The 13,463-nt window shown below is 37.2% G+C and overlaps 1 protein-coding gene across 39 annotated transcripts in view; it reads left to right on the forward strand.

Moving 5' to 3' along the window:
• DENND4C (DENN domain containing 4C) overlaps positions 1-13,463 on the forward strand; it is a 143,769-nt gene that overhangs the window by 60,446 nt on the left and 69,860 nt on the right. For 31 of the 39 annotated variants that reach the window (NR_169842.1, NR_169852.1, NR_169854.1 and 28 more), the window contains 4 exons: positions 5,050-5,288; positions 7,098-7,164; positions 8,271-8,329; positions 9,229-9,373. The exons of 2 other annotated variants lie outside the window; for them this stretch is intronic. Coding sequence is in view for 20 of the 37 variants with exons in the window: in NM_001386047.1 (NP_001372976.1) it covers positions 5,050-5,288; positions 7,098-7,164; positions 8,271-8,329; positions 9,229-9,373 (510 nt within the window). In the remaining 17 variants the exon portion in view is untranslated. The remainder of the gene's footprint in view (positions 1-5,049; positions 5,289-7,097; positions 7,165-8,270; positions 8,330-9,228; positions 9,374-13,463) is intronic. 6 more of the 39 variants (NR_169849.1, NR_169847.1, NR_169846.1 and 3 more) reach the window with 2 other exon arrangements.

Below are 13,463 nucleotides of genomic sequence, written 5' to 3' on the forward strand. Positions count from 1 at the left end.
TTAGGATTATTTGGACATGATACATTTTGGTTTAAATTTACACTGTCATCCCCAAGGTGAGAAATCAACATGAAAATTGCTATCAGGATATTGATACCTCTGGAACTTCTACAGAAGCAAAGATAAAGTCTCTCTGGATAGACACCTTCAAAACCCAGGTGTCAAGATGAGATGATTATGACAGATCAAGGACATAGGTACCATAGAAAGAATCGACAGACACAATTAAAAAGCAGGGTTAGACCCTCAAGACATTGAAATGACAGAATGACAATATAAAGGATGTTATAAATTAAAATATCATTGAGATGACCTAAGAACTAATGGAGGGGCTCAAAATATCAAGGAAGGAACAGGATATTTTGAAAAATGAATAGATTGGGAAAAGAATCAAGTGTTTAGAAATGAAAAATATGGTCCTTAAAATTAAAAATTCAGTGAATGGGTTAAACAGCAGAGATAAGGCCAGGTGCGGTGGCTCACGCCTGCAATTCCAGCACTTTGGGAGGCTGAGACAGGTGGATCACTTCAGGCCAGGAGTTCAAGGCCAGCCTGGGCAACATAGCACAACTCCGTCTCTACTGAAAATACAAAAAATTAGCCAGGCTTGGTGGTACACGCCTGTAATCCTGGCTACTCGGGAGGGTGAGGCATGAGAATTGCTTGAACCCGGGAGACAGAGGTTGCAATGAGCTGAGACTGCACCATTGCACTCCAGCCTAGGCTACAGAGCGATACTCTTTCTAAAAAAAAAAAAAAAAAAATAGCAGAGATAAGACATACATGAAGGGATAATTAATGAAGTGGAAGATAGGTTACCTTAAATGTGGTACATACAAATGTAAAACATAAAAGGAGTTTTAAAATGTAGCAGATAGAACTAGAAGGTCTAATAGATATTTAATGAGTTACTGAAGGAGAGACTAGAAAAGGACAAGGCTACATCCTAAGAGCTAATGGTTGAGAGTTTTCCAAGGTTGATGAAAAAATTGAGTCTTCAGGTTAAAGATGTACTCTGAATCTGCAGCAGAGAAAAATAAACAAATAAGTAAATAAATAAATAATCCCACCTCTTTTTTTTTTGAGACGGAATGTCACTCTTGTTGCCCAGGCTGGAGTGCAGTGGTGCGATCTCGGCTCACTGCAACCTCCACCTACCAGGTTCAAGTGATTCTCCTGCCTCAGCCTCTTAAGCAGTGGGATTACAGGTGTGCGTCACCACGCCCAGCTAATTTTGTATTTTTTTTTTTTAGTAGAGACAGGATTTCACCCTGTTGGTCAGGCTGGTCTCAAACTCCTGACCTAAAGTGATCCACCTGCCTCAGCCTCCCAAAGTCCTGGATTATACAGGTATGAGGCACCATGCCTGGCCTATCCCGCCTCTTATTATATCATGGTGCTATCATGGAACACCGGAGACAAAACAACTAGAGAGAAAAGACATTTATTGTCTTATGTAAAACATATATTGTATATAACAGTAATAATGACATAAACTGATTTATAAAGAAGAGAAGGCAAAAATAAACAATATTCAGTATAAAAAGCTGATAGCAGTAGAAATTTCAAAATTGAAAACTTTCTTTTCTTTTTTTTTTTTTTTTGAGACGAAACCTCACTCTTATCCCCCAGGCTGGAGTGCAATGGCACAATCTGGGCTCACTGCAACCTCCGCCTCCCGGGTTCAAGCGATTCTCCTGCCTTGGCTCCCCGAGTAGCTGGGATTACAGGCACCTGCCACCACGCCCGGCTAATTTTTGTATTTTTAGTTGAGATGGGGTTTCACCATGTTGGCCAGGCTGGTCTCGAACTCCTGACCTCAGGTGATCCACCTGCCTCAGCCTCCCAAAATGCTGGGATTACAGGTGTCAGCCAATGCGCCCAGCAAAAATTGAAAACTTTCTAAGGAAATTTAATAGGCGATTTTATTGAAAAAATATATAATCTGAACTGACTCATGCAGATGAAACAAAATACATCTGTGACCTCATTCTACAGGTACAGGCTACACCTTTATAACTACTGTGATAAAGATAATATATGTAAAGTATCCAGCATAGTGCCTGGAACATAGAAAATACTGAGTGAAGGTCAATATTATATTAACTTGATTGCCCACTACTAACTTGTTAGCTTAATAATCATTTACAATTTCTCCTGCTGAAAGTAGTAAATATAACTGAAAATTTTAAGATCTTCAAACATTAGTTACCTAATATGCTTTGGCAGTAGAGAACAATAAAGTCTCATTTGAGATGTGGGTACTAGGTGATCTGCTTGGCTTTTTCATTGTTTAGGGGATATCAACATGTAAGCATTGAGGTGTGTAAAATTTAGGTATTTGTCATTGCTTGTTAAAAACTTTGAGATCACTTTGAAATAATTATATCTGGGAATATTGTGTGTATAAAGGCAAGGGTTATAATGAAAAAACAGTTGGCAAGATTTATAAAATACAGAAGTAAGGATTGATTGTTGGGAGAAGGGGATGGGTTAAAAACTTTGAGATCACTTTGAAATAATTGTATCTGGGAATGTGTGTGTAAAGGCAAGGGTTCCTGTGATATATATAATGACTAAACAGTTGGCAAGATTTATAAAACACAGAGGTAAGGATTGATTGCTGGGAGAAGGGGATGGGTATAGTGATAGAATTTCTTTGCAGTGTTTTAAGGAATGGGCAGATCAGAGGAAGTACCAAGGCTAAACAAAATACATAAAAGCACAAAATTATGAACTAGTCTATATGCCTGGTAGCTCTGTATTGTTGAAAAGCAACAGCAGGTACTGTGAGGAATTGAGAGCATCATGCCACTTACACGGACTGTGGCATTTTACCTGTAATGGGGAACTTTTGAAGGATGAGATATTACCTCTGAAGGACTGTTTCTTCAGTGTATTTTTCACTAAAATACTTTCTCTTCTGACTTGAGACCAGTTAGGGCTTCAGTAGTTGCTTTGATATGTGGTAAGTGGAAGTGGAATTGAACATGACTTCGAAGTTTCTACCTTGGGAATTGTGTAGCATGACTGAGTAAGATTAGGAATATTGGATGAAGTGTTTAGATGATGAGCTCACTTTTGAAAATATTGGTTTGAGATGCCTGTATGACATCCAGGTGGAGATTAGTGAGTAGTCATTTTGAAAATAGGAGTCTGAGGTTCAGGGGAGAGGTCAGGTAGACCTAGAGATAAAGATTTGTGTTTTGTTAGTATAATGATTATAGTTAAAACCATGAGAGAATGAAATGTTCCAAATAGAAGTGTGAAGTTAGAACCTTAGGGAATGCTAGTATTTAAATGATGGGTGACATAATTGGATCTAGTATAGGAAAGAGAGAAGTAGCCAGAAAGCAGAGAAATTTGTACTGTCAAAGACAGCAAAGGAATAAAGAGTTTGAAGACAGAGGAGTGTCAGCTTTATCTTGTGTCATACAAGGAAAGGGTGTGGAGGAATTGAACCTGTCAACATTGCTGATGAGAAAGTCAAATGCTGCTGCTGTGGAAAACAGTTTGGCAGCTCCTCCAAAAGTTAAACTTAGAATTACCATATGATCGAGCAGTTTCATGCCTAGGCATATACCTAAAATAATTGAAAGCAGAGACTCAAACAGATACTTGTACGCCAATGTTTGTAGCAGGGTTATTCACGATAGGCGGAAGGTGGAAACAACCCAAACGTGCATCAACGTATGAATGGATACACAAAATATGGTATATATATATGATGGAATTATGATTTCTTCCTTAACAAGGAATGAAATTCAGATATTTGCTACAATATAGGTGAATCTTAAAAACATTATTCTAAGTGAAATAAGCCAGACACAAAAGCATAAATTTTGTATGATTCCTCTTATAGGAGGTACCTAGAATAGCTACCCTTATAGAGATAGAAAGTACAATAGAGATTACCAGGGACTTGGATTGAGGGCAAGAGAATGGGAAGTTACCATTTAAGGGTTACAGAGCTTTTGTTTGGGGTAATGAAAAAAGTTCTGGAAATGAATAGTGCTACTGGGTGCACTGCATTGTGAAGGTACTTAATACCAGTGAATTGTACACTTGAAAATGGTTAAAGTGGTACGTTTAATGTTATATATATTTCACCCCAATTAAAAAAAAATCACAGGCCGGGTGCAGTGGCTCATGCCTATAATCCCAGCACTTTGGGAGGCTGAGGCTGGTGGATCACCAGGTCAGGAGATAAAGACCATCCTGGCTAACACAGTGAAACCCCGTCTCTACTAAAAATAGAAAAAATTAGGCCGGGCGCAGTGGCGCACGCCGTAATCCCAGCACTTTGGAAGGCCGAGGTGGGCGGATCATGAGGTCAGGAGATCGAGACCATCCTGGCTAACACGGTGAAACCCTGTCTCTACTAAAAATACAAAAAATTAGCTAGGTGTGGTGGTGGGCGCCTATAGTCCCAGTTACTTGGGAGGCTGAGTCAGGAGAATGGCGTGAACCCAGGAGGTGGAGCTTGCAGTGAGCCGAGATCGTGCCACTGTACTCCAGCCTGGGTGACAGAGCAAGACTCCATCTCAAAAAAAAAGGAAAAAAAAAATTAGCCAGGTGTGGTGGCACATGCCTGTAATGCCAGCTACTCGGGAGGCTGAAGCAGTCACTTGAACCTGGGAGGCGGAGGTTGCAGTGAGCTGAGATTGCGCTACTGCACTCCAGCCTGGGCGACTGAGTGAGACTCCATCTCAAAAAAAAAAAAAAAAAGAAAAAGAAAAATCCACAAAAAACTTAAGTTGAGTGAGATCATTAGAGTTCATTCTCTAATGCTTAAGTTGTAAGAGGTTACCATCCATTTTTGTATAAGATACATAGTTGAATGTATAAAATTGCAGTGGAAAAAATCTTGAGGGATTTATATCAAAATCTGGTTATCTCTGGGACAGAAATTTGGGTGAGATTTTTTTTTTCATAATTTATCTGTATAAGTGTACTCCAAGCAAATATTTCTTGTGTAATAAGAAAAAAAGAGAAGTTAATTTTTTCAAACAAACTCAAATCTTATAACAGAATTCTGTTACTCTTTAGGTATATGGAGCTGCCATTCAGTTTTATGAACCTTACTCTCGGGAACTTCTATCAGAGAAACAGCTTATGCACCTGGGCTTGTTGACGCCTGTGGAGAGAAAAATGGTCTCCAAATCCATCAATACAAACAAATGCATTTGTTTACTCTCACACTGGCCTTTTTTTGAAGCTTTTAGGAAATTTCTTATGTTTATCTACAAACTTTCTGTGTCTGGACCACATCCTCTTCCCATTGAAAAGTATGTATAATGATTAGAAAGATGGCTGGTGGAAAACTGGGTATATAAATATATACATTTGTTTGTGTAATTTTTAGCAGCAAAGTTGGAAGGGAAGGAAGCCTGCATTTAACTGAACTTTTTTTTTTTTTTTTTTGAGATGGAGTATTGCTCTGTCACCCAGGCTGGAGTGCAGTGGTGTGATCTTGGTTCACTGCAACCTCCACCTCCTGGGTTCATGCAGTTCTCTGTGTCAGCCTCCCGAGTAGCTGGGATTACAGGCACCTGCCACCACGCCTGGCTAATTTTTGTAGAGACAAGGTTTCACCATCTTGGCCAGGCTGGTCTTGAACTCCTGACCTCATGGTCCACCTGCCTCAGCCTCCCAAAGTGCTGGGATTACAGGCATGAGCCACCAACTTTTTACTTACTCCCTTCTTCGCCTGAATCATTGACTGTGAGCTTAAAATTGGATAGTAGTGGTAAGGTTGGCCAAATAATAATCCTTTGAGAATTCAGCTGAAGAAGTAACTCTTATAAATTATATTGTGAGTGTTCTTCTTCCTATTTATTCTCTAATAACCAAGAGACAAATAGTTACTGCTGCACACACACCCACCAATGCAAGTGGCCATTCCAAATTCTAACCGTAATACCTCTCTAAAGTGATGTAGAAATTAGTCGGAATGAGTTAATTGATGTTAAAAGTGGAGTTTTGGTTTTAGCATTGACAGAATTATTTGAGCTTTCTCTTTAATTTTTAATTCTTTTTGTCATGCGATCTTTCTTTCCTAAGAAAGAAAAATGTATGTTGAGCTACTCTTTTTTAAAGCATCTTTTCTGATTTCTAGTGGCGCATTGACTTCTGTTTATGATAGTTTATAATTTATGTATCCTGCTAACAAACTAAAAAGTGTCAAGAGCTGTAATGTATTAAAGTATGTGTAAGCTTAGATGTTTCTTACAATTTCAGAACTTTTACATTATAGCAGAAAGAATATCAGTGAAACATACTAGTTTAGTGGATAAGGTAGGGGTAATTATGTGAGGGTTTAAAAATAATGCTGTCCAAAAATCAACTTTAAAAAGAGTGAAGTACTGTGCATAAACTCATCATAATTTGATATTGAAATATGGTTGCAACTTTCATTTTGTACTCTTGAAATGGCAGTTTAATGATTTATAGTTCTGGGTTTAACTTTCAGCTGTCAGATTAATTTAAAGTTTATTGAAGTAAAATGTAACATTAGTGTCAAGTTAGCAACCTTTTGAAAAATTAAGATTCTATGAATAGCTTGTGATAAAATCAATGTATATAATCAATATTTTTTTCAGTTGAAGTAATATGTTGCGTTTTTATGGCTCCTAAGAGCTCCAAACTTTGGAGAAACTTAAGAAGCAATTTTTATAGGTGCAAAAATAGAATGGGTAGGTGGTTCATCCAGTGTTAGAGGAGTAAATCTGGGATTAAACTGAATTTTAGTGTAAATTCATTATAGCACAGTTAGTTGCTCCCTGTACTGGCACAGATAACCAGGGCTATAAAAATTCACTTCTTTCATGAAAACTATTTTTATGTTATTTTTATTTGTTGGGTAATGATAGGGGATATAAATAGACTTTAAGTCAGGAAATACATTGTGTATTTCAGAAGTTTAATGGGCATGGATAAATTCATTTACATGGAGCAAATTTACTTACTTAGCCTACATTTTAGATAAATGGCCATGTCATATCTGGGATGATATATAGTGATATTTAAGATTTGTTAAAAACTGTGATGCATTTAGAAAAGTAATTATTATATTTATTTCAAATTTTTTTTTCTAGGCACATTTCACATTTTATGCAAAACATCCCTTTTCCTTCACCACAAAGACCGAGAATCCTTGTCCAGGTAATCAAAAGAGAGTATATTTGGGGAGAACTTTGCATATGCTCACCTGAGTCATTGCAGAGTGGATTCTGTATACCTTTGGGTTTGAGGTGGAGCAATATGCATTCATAAAGTCCTTGGATTTTCTGTGCTTTGTAGCTTTACTGAACACCCTTTCTTACTGGGTTTTGGATTTGAGTGTACTGAATTGGAATAATTATAACCCTTGGTTCATAACATTTTCATTTTTGGCCCATGCATGACCTTTATGTAGCTAGTTTTAATAACATAAAACCCAGATTATGTTTGGGCATGTTTTTAATACCAGATTCTCTAATAAATATTGAATATAAAATGAGCAATGGTTGGAGGAGGTTAATTTAAACAAGGTCTATAATAGTACTGTGCTAAAGGACCAGTTTCTTTTTATTTTCAGTAAGTAGCAGACGTAGGTAGGTGTACAGCTTGTGACATATGCAACATGAACAGGTCTATATCCTCTCTATAATAATAGTTCTACTGATCACATGCTTGGATATAGGAGAGAGGTCAGATTGTCATAAAAGTTGCTTAATGGTTTGCTCTTCATTTATATACTGTATCTTTCTGGACCATAACAATTAACTTACTGACATACTTAACATACTTTCAGTAGCACTGATCTATAGAGGGAAGCCATTTAAAAGTTTTTCTAAGACATTCTTAACATTATGTATGGTGGGATTAAGTCAGATATTGTTGATCTTGAATGTTATTTCAGTTCCACAAGTATTTACGTGCCAAGCAACTGCCAAGTGCCTACAGTCTGTTGAGTAAATGAATTTGAAGCTTTTCAGAAGCAGTAGTTCCATAAATTTTAAATAATTGTACTTTAACCAATTAAGTGAATCAAAATTCAGTCAAATTAACCATTTAATGAAAAAGAACTAATGTAACACTTCTGAGTAAATACAGCTATCATTTTATATTTTAGTACCTGTTTCCAAAAGTGTGTTTGCATATTAAATTATTAATGTTTTCAATATTACCTTTGATCTAAATATATAGATTTCAAAAGTAGTTTTGAAACTTATCTCTTGGTTTGGTTAATTTATCTTTGGTTAATTTATCTTTTTTTTTTTTTTAAGCTGTCAGTCCATGATGCATTAATATTATCACAGCCAGTTTCTACACCTTTACCACTAAGGTAATTACTGGTATTTAAAATGATATATTTATTCAGTTGGAGCAGAATGCTTTAAAATATTTTAGTGATTAGTATATTATTAATATATTAGTGATTGTTATTTTACAATTAACTTTATTAGTTAAAACTAGGCAAAAATAGCCTTAATGTTTCTGACTTTGGTAACTGGGTGGATGGTGGGGCTATTTTATAAATGGGAACAATTAAGAGAGTTGCAAGATTGGATGTAGAGGATACTTCCCTTTTCTTCTCATCTCCCCTTCCCATATCCAGTTCATAACTAAAGGTTTAAGGTGAGCTGATTTTAACCTTTTAAATGTCTCAAATCCTTTTACTTCTTTTCATCTGCATCATAGTAGGCTTCCTTGATGTCTTACCAGACTATTTCACTATTAGCCTCTTAATTGGTACCTTTTTACTTATCTTCCTTTAGTTCTTTATCCACCCTGTAGCCAGTGTGTCCTTTTGAAAACGCAAATATAATAGTATATTTCAATTTCAGCCTAATCTGTTGCTGTTTTCACCCTTTCCCTTACTATGCTTTAGTCACAATAGATTTATTTCAATTTCTTGGCTATGACAACAGCTTTTTCTTGCCCCAGGGCCCTTGCATATATTGTCTGTCACCCCTTCACTCCCATCCTTGTCTCCATTCTTCTGAGCTCAACTCAAATGGCTGTTCAGGAAAATCTTTCTTGATAAATGCCTTTTATTACCAGAGGATGAGTTTAAATCACCCCGTTATCTATCTTATTAAATTTGCTACTTTTCATTGATAAATAAGTAAAGACTAGAAATTAACACTAGACTCTCAATCTGTTGATACTTTAATAAGCAAATCTTAACATATTTCAGCAAAATAGTTCACAATGATCTACTTTTCTCTTTTTTTTCCCTAGTGGAGCCAACTTTAGCACCTTGCTAATGAATCTGGGTCCTGAGAATTGTGCAACACTGCTGCTCTTTGTTTTACTTGAGAGTAAAATTCTGCTGCATTCTCTTAGGCCAGCTGTCTTGACTGGGGTAGCTGAAGCTGTTGTAGCTGTAAGTATAGAATTTTCCTTTTAGTACAAAATTACTGACATAATTTTTACTCCAAAGGGAAATTTTCTTCAAAAACAGCAACTTTGTAAACAACAACAAATTTAAAAAAAGGAACTTTGAAAAATTTCCAGCCCAGTAAAAGTTGAATATAATCTGCTGGCAAAGAGAAGTAGGAAATATAAAGAAAACAAAGGTGATTTCTATTTTAGGAAAAACGTCAATTTCCAATTTTTCATATTTTTGAGTTCTTCCCAGAGTAAAAACTATATGATTATATAATAAAACCTGAGAATGAAGCTGGTTGTATTGAGAGGCTCTGGCCAATTTCAGCTGTTCTAAAATTATGCAAATGATTACATGGTTAATTTCTCCCTATTTTAACTTTTAATAATTGTGAATCAGTAATATACAGGAAATTCTAAGTGATTGTGAAATAGGATAATATACAGAGGCTTAGCTCTTGTGTAAAGCGTAAATAAAATTAAATTGTTAAATTGTTAAGAAATTAAAGTTGTTCCCTGCTTAAAACCCTTTGGCTTCCCATTGCACTTAGAATGAAGTCTGATTGACAGGCATGGTGGCTTACACCTGTAATCCCAGCAATTTGGGAGGCTGAGGTAGGCGGATCACCTGAGGTCAGGAGTTCGAGACCAGCCTGACCAATATGGAGAAACCCTGCTCTACTAAAAACACAAAGTTAGCCGGGTGTGGTGGCACATGCCTATAATCCCAGCTACTCAGGAGGCTGAGGCAGGAGAATTGCTTGAACCCAGGAGGCGGAGGTTATGGTGAGCTGAGATCACACCATTGCACTCCAGCCTGGGCAACTAGAGTGAAACTCCGTCTCAAAAAAAAAAAAAAGACTGAAGAATGAAGTCTGATTGTATAGGGCTTTATAGGCCATTGTATAGAACTTTAGATGGTCCACTTCTCCAACCCTATCACCCATTAGTTGTTTAATTTAAAATAGCTGACTCTCTTCTCTTCCCTTCCCCATTTTAAGAATGTAAGTCTCCTGGGAGTAAGGACCTAATCTCTTGTTTACTCCTGTATTTTCAGCACTTGTTACAGTTGCCTAGCACAGAGTAGGCCCTCAGTAAATACTTGTTAAAACAACAAATGGGGTATGTCTCCAAGATCTTAATCTGGTTGAAGAAGTGCTGTTAGGACTGAAAACAATAGTAACCATATGAGAAAGCTTCCAGGAGGATCCTCATTAAGTATTACTTTTCCAAGTCATCACAGTTGTGTGTGAAAGCAAAAGTTGTTAGAATATGAAAATATTTGTTAATGAACTGACCAGTTCTAGAAAGTTCCCACCCAGGCCAGGCACAGTGTGGCACACACCTGTAATCCCAGCACTTTGGGAGGCCAAGGCAGGCAGATCACGAGGTCAAGAGATCGAGACCATCCTGGCCAACATGGTGAAACTCCATTTCTACTAAAAATACAAAAATTAGCTGGGCGTGGTGGTGCACGCCTGTAGTCCCAGCTACTCGGGAGGCTGAGGCAGGAAAATCGCCTAAACCCAGGAGGTGAAGGTTGCTATGAGCTGAGATTGCGCCACTGCACTCCAGCCTGGTGACACAGCAAGACTCCGTCTCAAAAAAAATAAGTTCCCACCAAAATATTCCTTACTAAAACAGTGTTTATTGAAGCCCCTTTGTCAGAATCGTGGTGGCCAAGTCTTTTGATGGATTTCAGTAGTATGGTGCAAGAACAGCTGAAAAAAGTGCTACATGGAATTGGTAATCATATGAAAAATGCCAGAGTATATGAGGTTTATGCAACTGATGTTGGAGAGCTGTCTGAATTGCATGCAAAATTATTTATAAGTCATGATTTGGTAGTTATGCCAGTTACCATTTGAAGAAGAGAACATTGAAAAGAATGGTTACAAAACAAATGCATCAAAAGGAGAATGATTTAAATATCAAAGAATATCAAAGAATTAAGGGAGACCCATAGCAAAGATTGATAAAATGTACAAGTGCTTTATAAAAAGTGACCCTATAGTGTTGCAAAAAGGCAAAGGTGAAGAGAAGGATATCATATTTTGCTAGCATATAGCTTTTTTTCTAAGGTTTCTTAGATAGTTGGAGGTGTAACATACCTTTTGTTGAAAAGGAGATAGTTGTCACTCAAGGAAATCTGAAGTCCTTGCAGGGTCCTTTGTGAGTGATAGTTGCAGATGTAACATACCTTTTGTTGAATAGAAGATAATTGTCACTCAAAGAAATCTGAAGTCCTTGCAGGATCCTTTGTGAGTGATAGTTGCAGGTGTAACATACCTTTTGTTGAATAGAAGATAATTGTCACTCAAAGAAATCTGAAGTCCTTGCAGGGTCCTTTGTGAGTGGCTCTGCCCTTCAGCAATCTGATCTTATTTTCCACTCCTCTTCCTCTTGCTCACTCTTCTCCAGCATTCTGGCCTTACCATCCCGGGAGCATTAGGCATTCCCCATACCTTAAGGCCTCTGCCCTAGCTGTTCCTTCTCATTAAAGCACTCTTCTCTTATATATCCCCTTGGCTAAATCTCTCACCTTCTTCAGGTTTCAGCTCTGTTGTCACTTTATTAATGAGTCCTGTTCTGTTTGTCCTAATAGAACCTGCTTTTCTTCTCTTCTGCTCTGAACTCTAATGTCCTTTACTTGGCTTTACTTTTCCTTTTTTTTTTTTCATAGCACTTATTACTTTCTGACATATAGGTTGAATATCCCTTATCTAAAATGCTTGGAAAGAAGTGCTTTGGATTGAGGACTTTTTTGGATTTTGGCATGTTTGCAGAATACATGCTGGTTGAACATCCCTAATCTAAAAATCTGAAGTCCTAAATGCTTCTGTGAGCAATTTCTTTTCTGTGTCATGTTGGTGCTCAAAAAGTGTTGGATTTTGCAGCACTTTGGATTTTGGATTTTCAGGTTAGGGATGCTCAACCTGTAGTATAATATTTTATTCCTTATGTTTTTCATTTATTTTCTCTCTTCCTGCTAGACAAGGTGTTTGCAAATGGTGGCCGAATCCTGCCTGCCAAATCCTGCCTGCCACTTGTTTCTATAAAGTTTTATTGGAACACAGGCCATTTATTCATATATTGCCTATGACTGCTTTCATGCATGACAGCAGAGTTAAATGGTTGTGACAGAGACAATATGGTTCACAAGGCCTAAAATATTTACTGTCTTTTACAGAAAAAGTTGCTGACTTTTATCCTAAACTATAAACCTCATGAGGAGAGTGATCTCTTTCATTTATTGTTAAGCTCTCATTATGTAGAACAGTGATTGGTACATAGCAAGTGCCCAAATATTAAGTAAATAAATGTTTGAAGACAAAATTCCAATCCTGAATAACCCTCTGTAATAGCTGGCAGGGGTAGTAAGCGTTATAGGCATTTCTTTGGGGTGAGTGATGACAGATAAGGGTGATAATTGAACTAGACCTTAAAAGATAACAGGGATTTTTATAGTAGAAGAAAAACATTATCATCAGTAAAATTTTAGTACTAGCTAATTATTAAATTTTTTTTTGTAAAATTTATTCATTTATTTAATTTTTTTGTGGAGATGAGGGTCTCACTCTGTTGTCCAGGCTGGCCTTGAACTACTGGCCTCAAGCAGTCCTCCTGCCTCAGCCTCCCAAAGTGTTGAGAATCACTGCATTTGGCCTTAACATGTTTTAGTCTTTTTTAAAAAACATCAAAACCTGTCTTTTTTAAAAAAAAAAAAAACCCACAAATGATGCAATTGAAGTAAAGCTTTGTAAAGGAAAATGGGTAAAGATTCTTGAGGAATGTTTTTTTCTCTTTTTTCTTTTTCTGTCTTATCATGTCTAGATAGAGGAATATTTTATATTGATTTTTTTTTTTTTGAGACAGAGTCTTGCTCTGTTGCCCAGGCTGGAGTGCAGTGGTGCAAACTCGGCTCACTGCAACCTCTGCCTCCCGGGTTCAAGCGATTCTCCTGCCCCAGCCTCCCGAGTAGCTGGGATTACAGACATGTGCCACCACACTCAGCTAATTTTTGTGTTTCAGTAGAAACATGGTTTGTACATCTTGGCCAGGCTGGTCTCAAACTTCTGACCACAAGT

This window comes from Homo sapiens, chromosome 9, assembly GCF_000001405.40.
Source record: "Homo sapiens chromosome 9, GRCh38.p14 Primary Assembly".
NCBI lineage: Eukaryota > Metazoa > Chordata > Mammalia > Primates > Hominidae > Homo > Homo sapiens.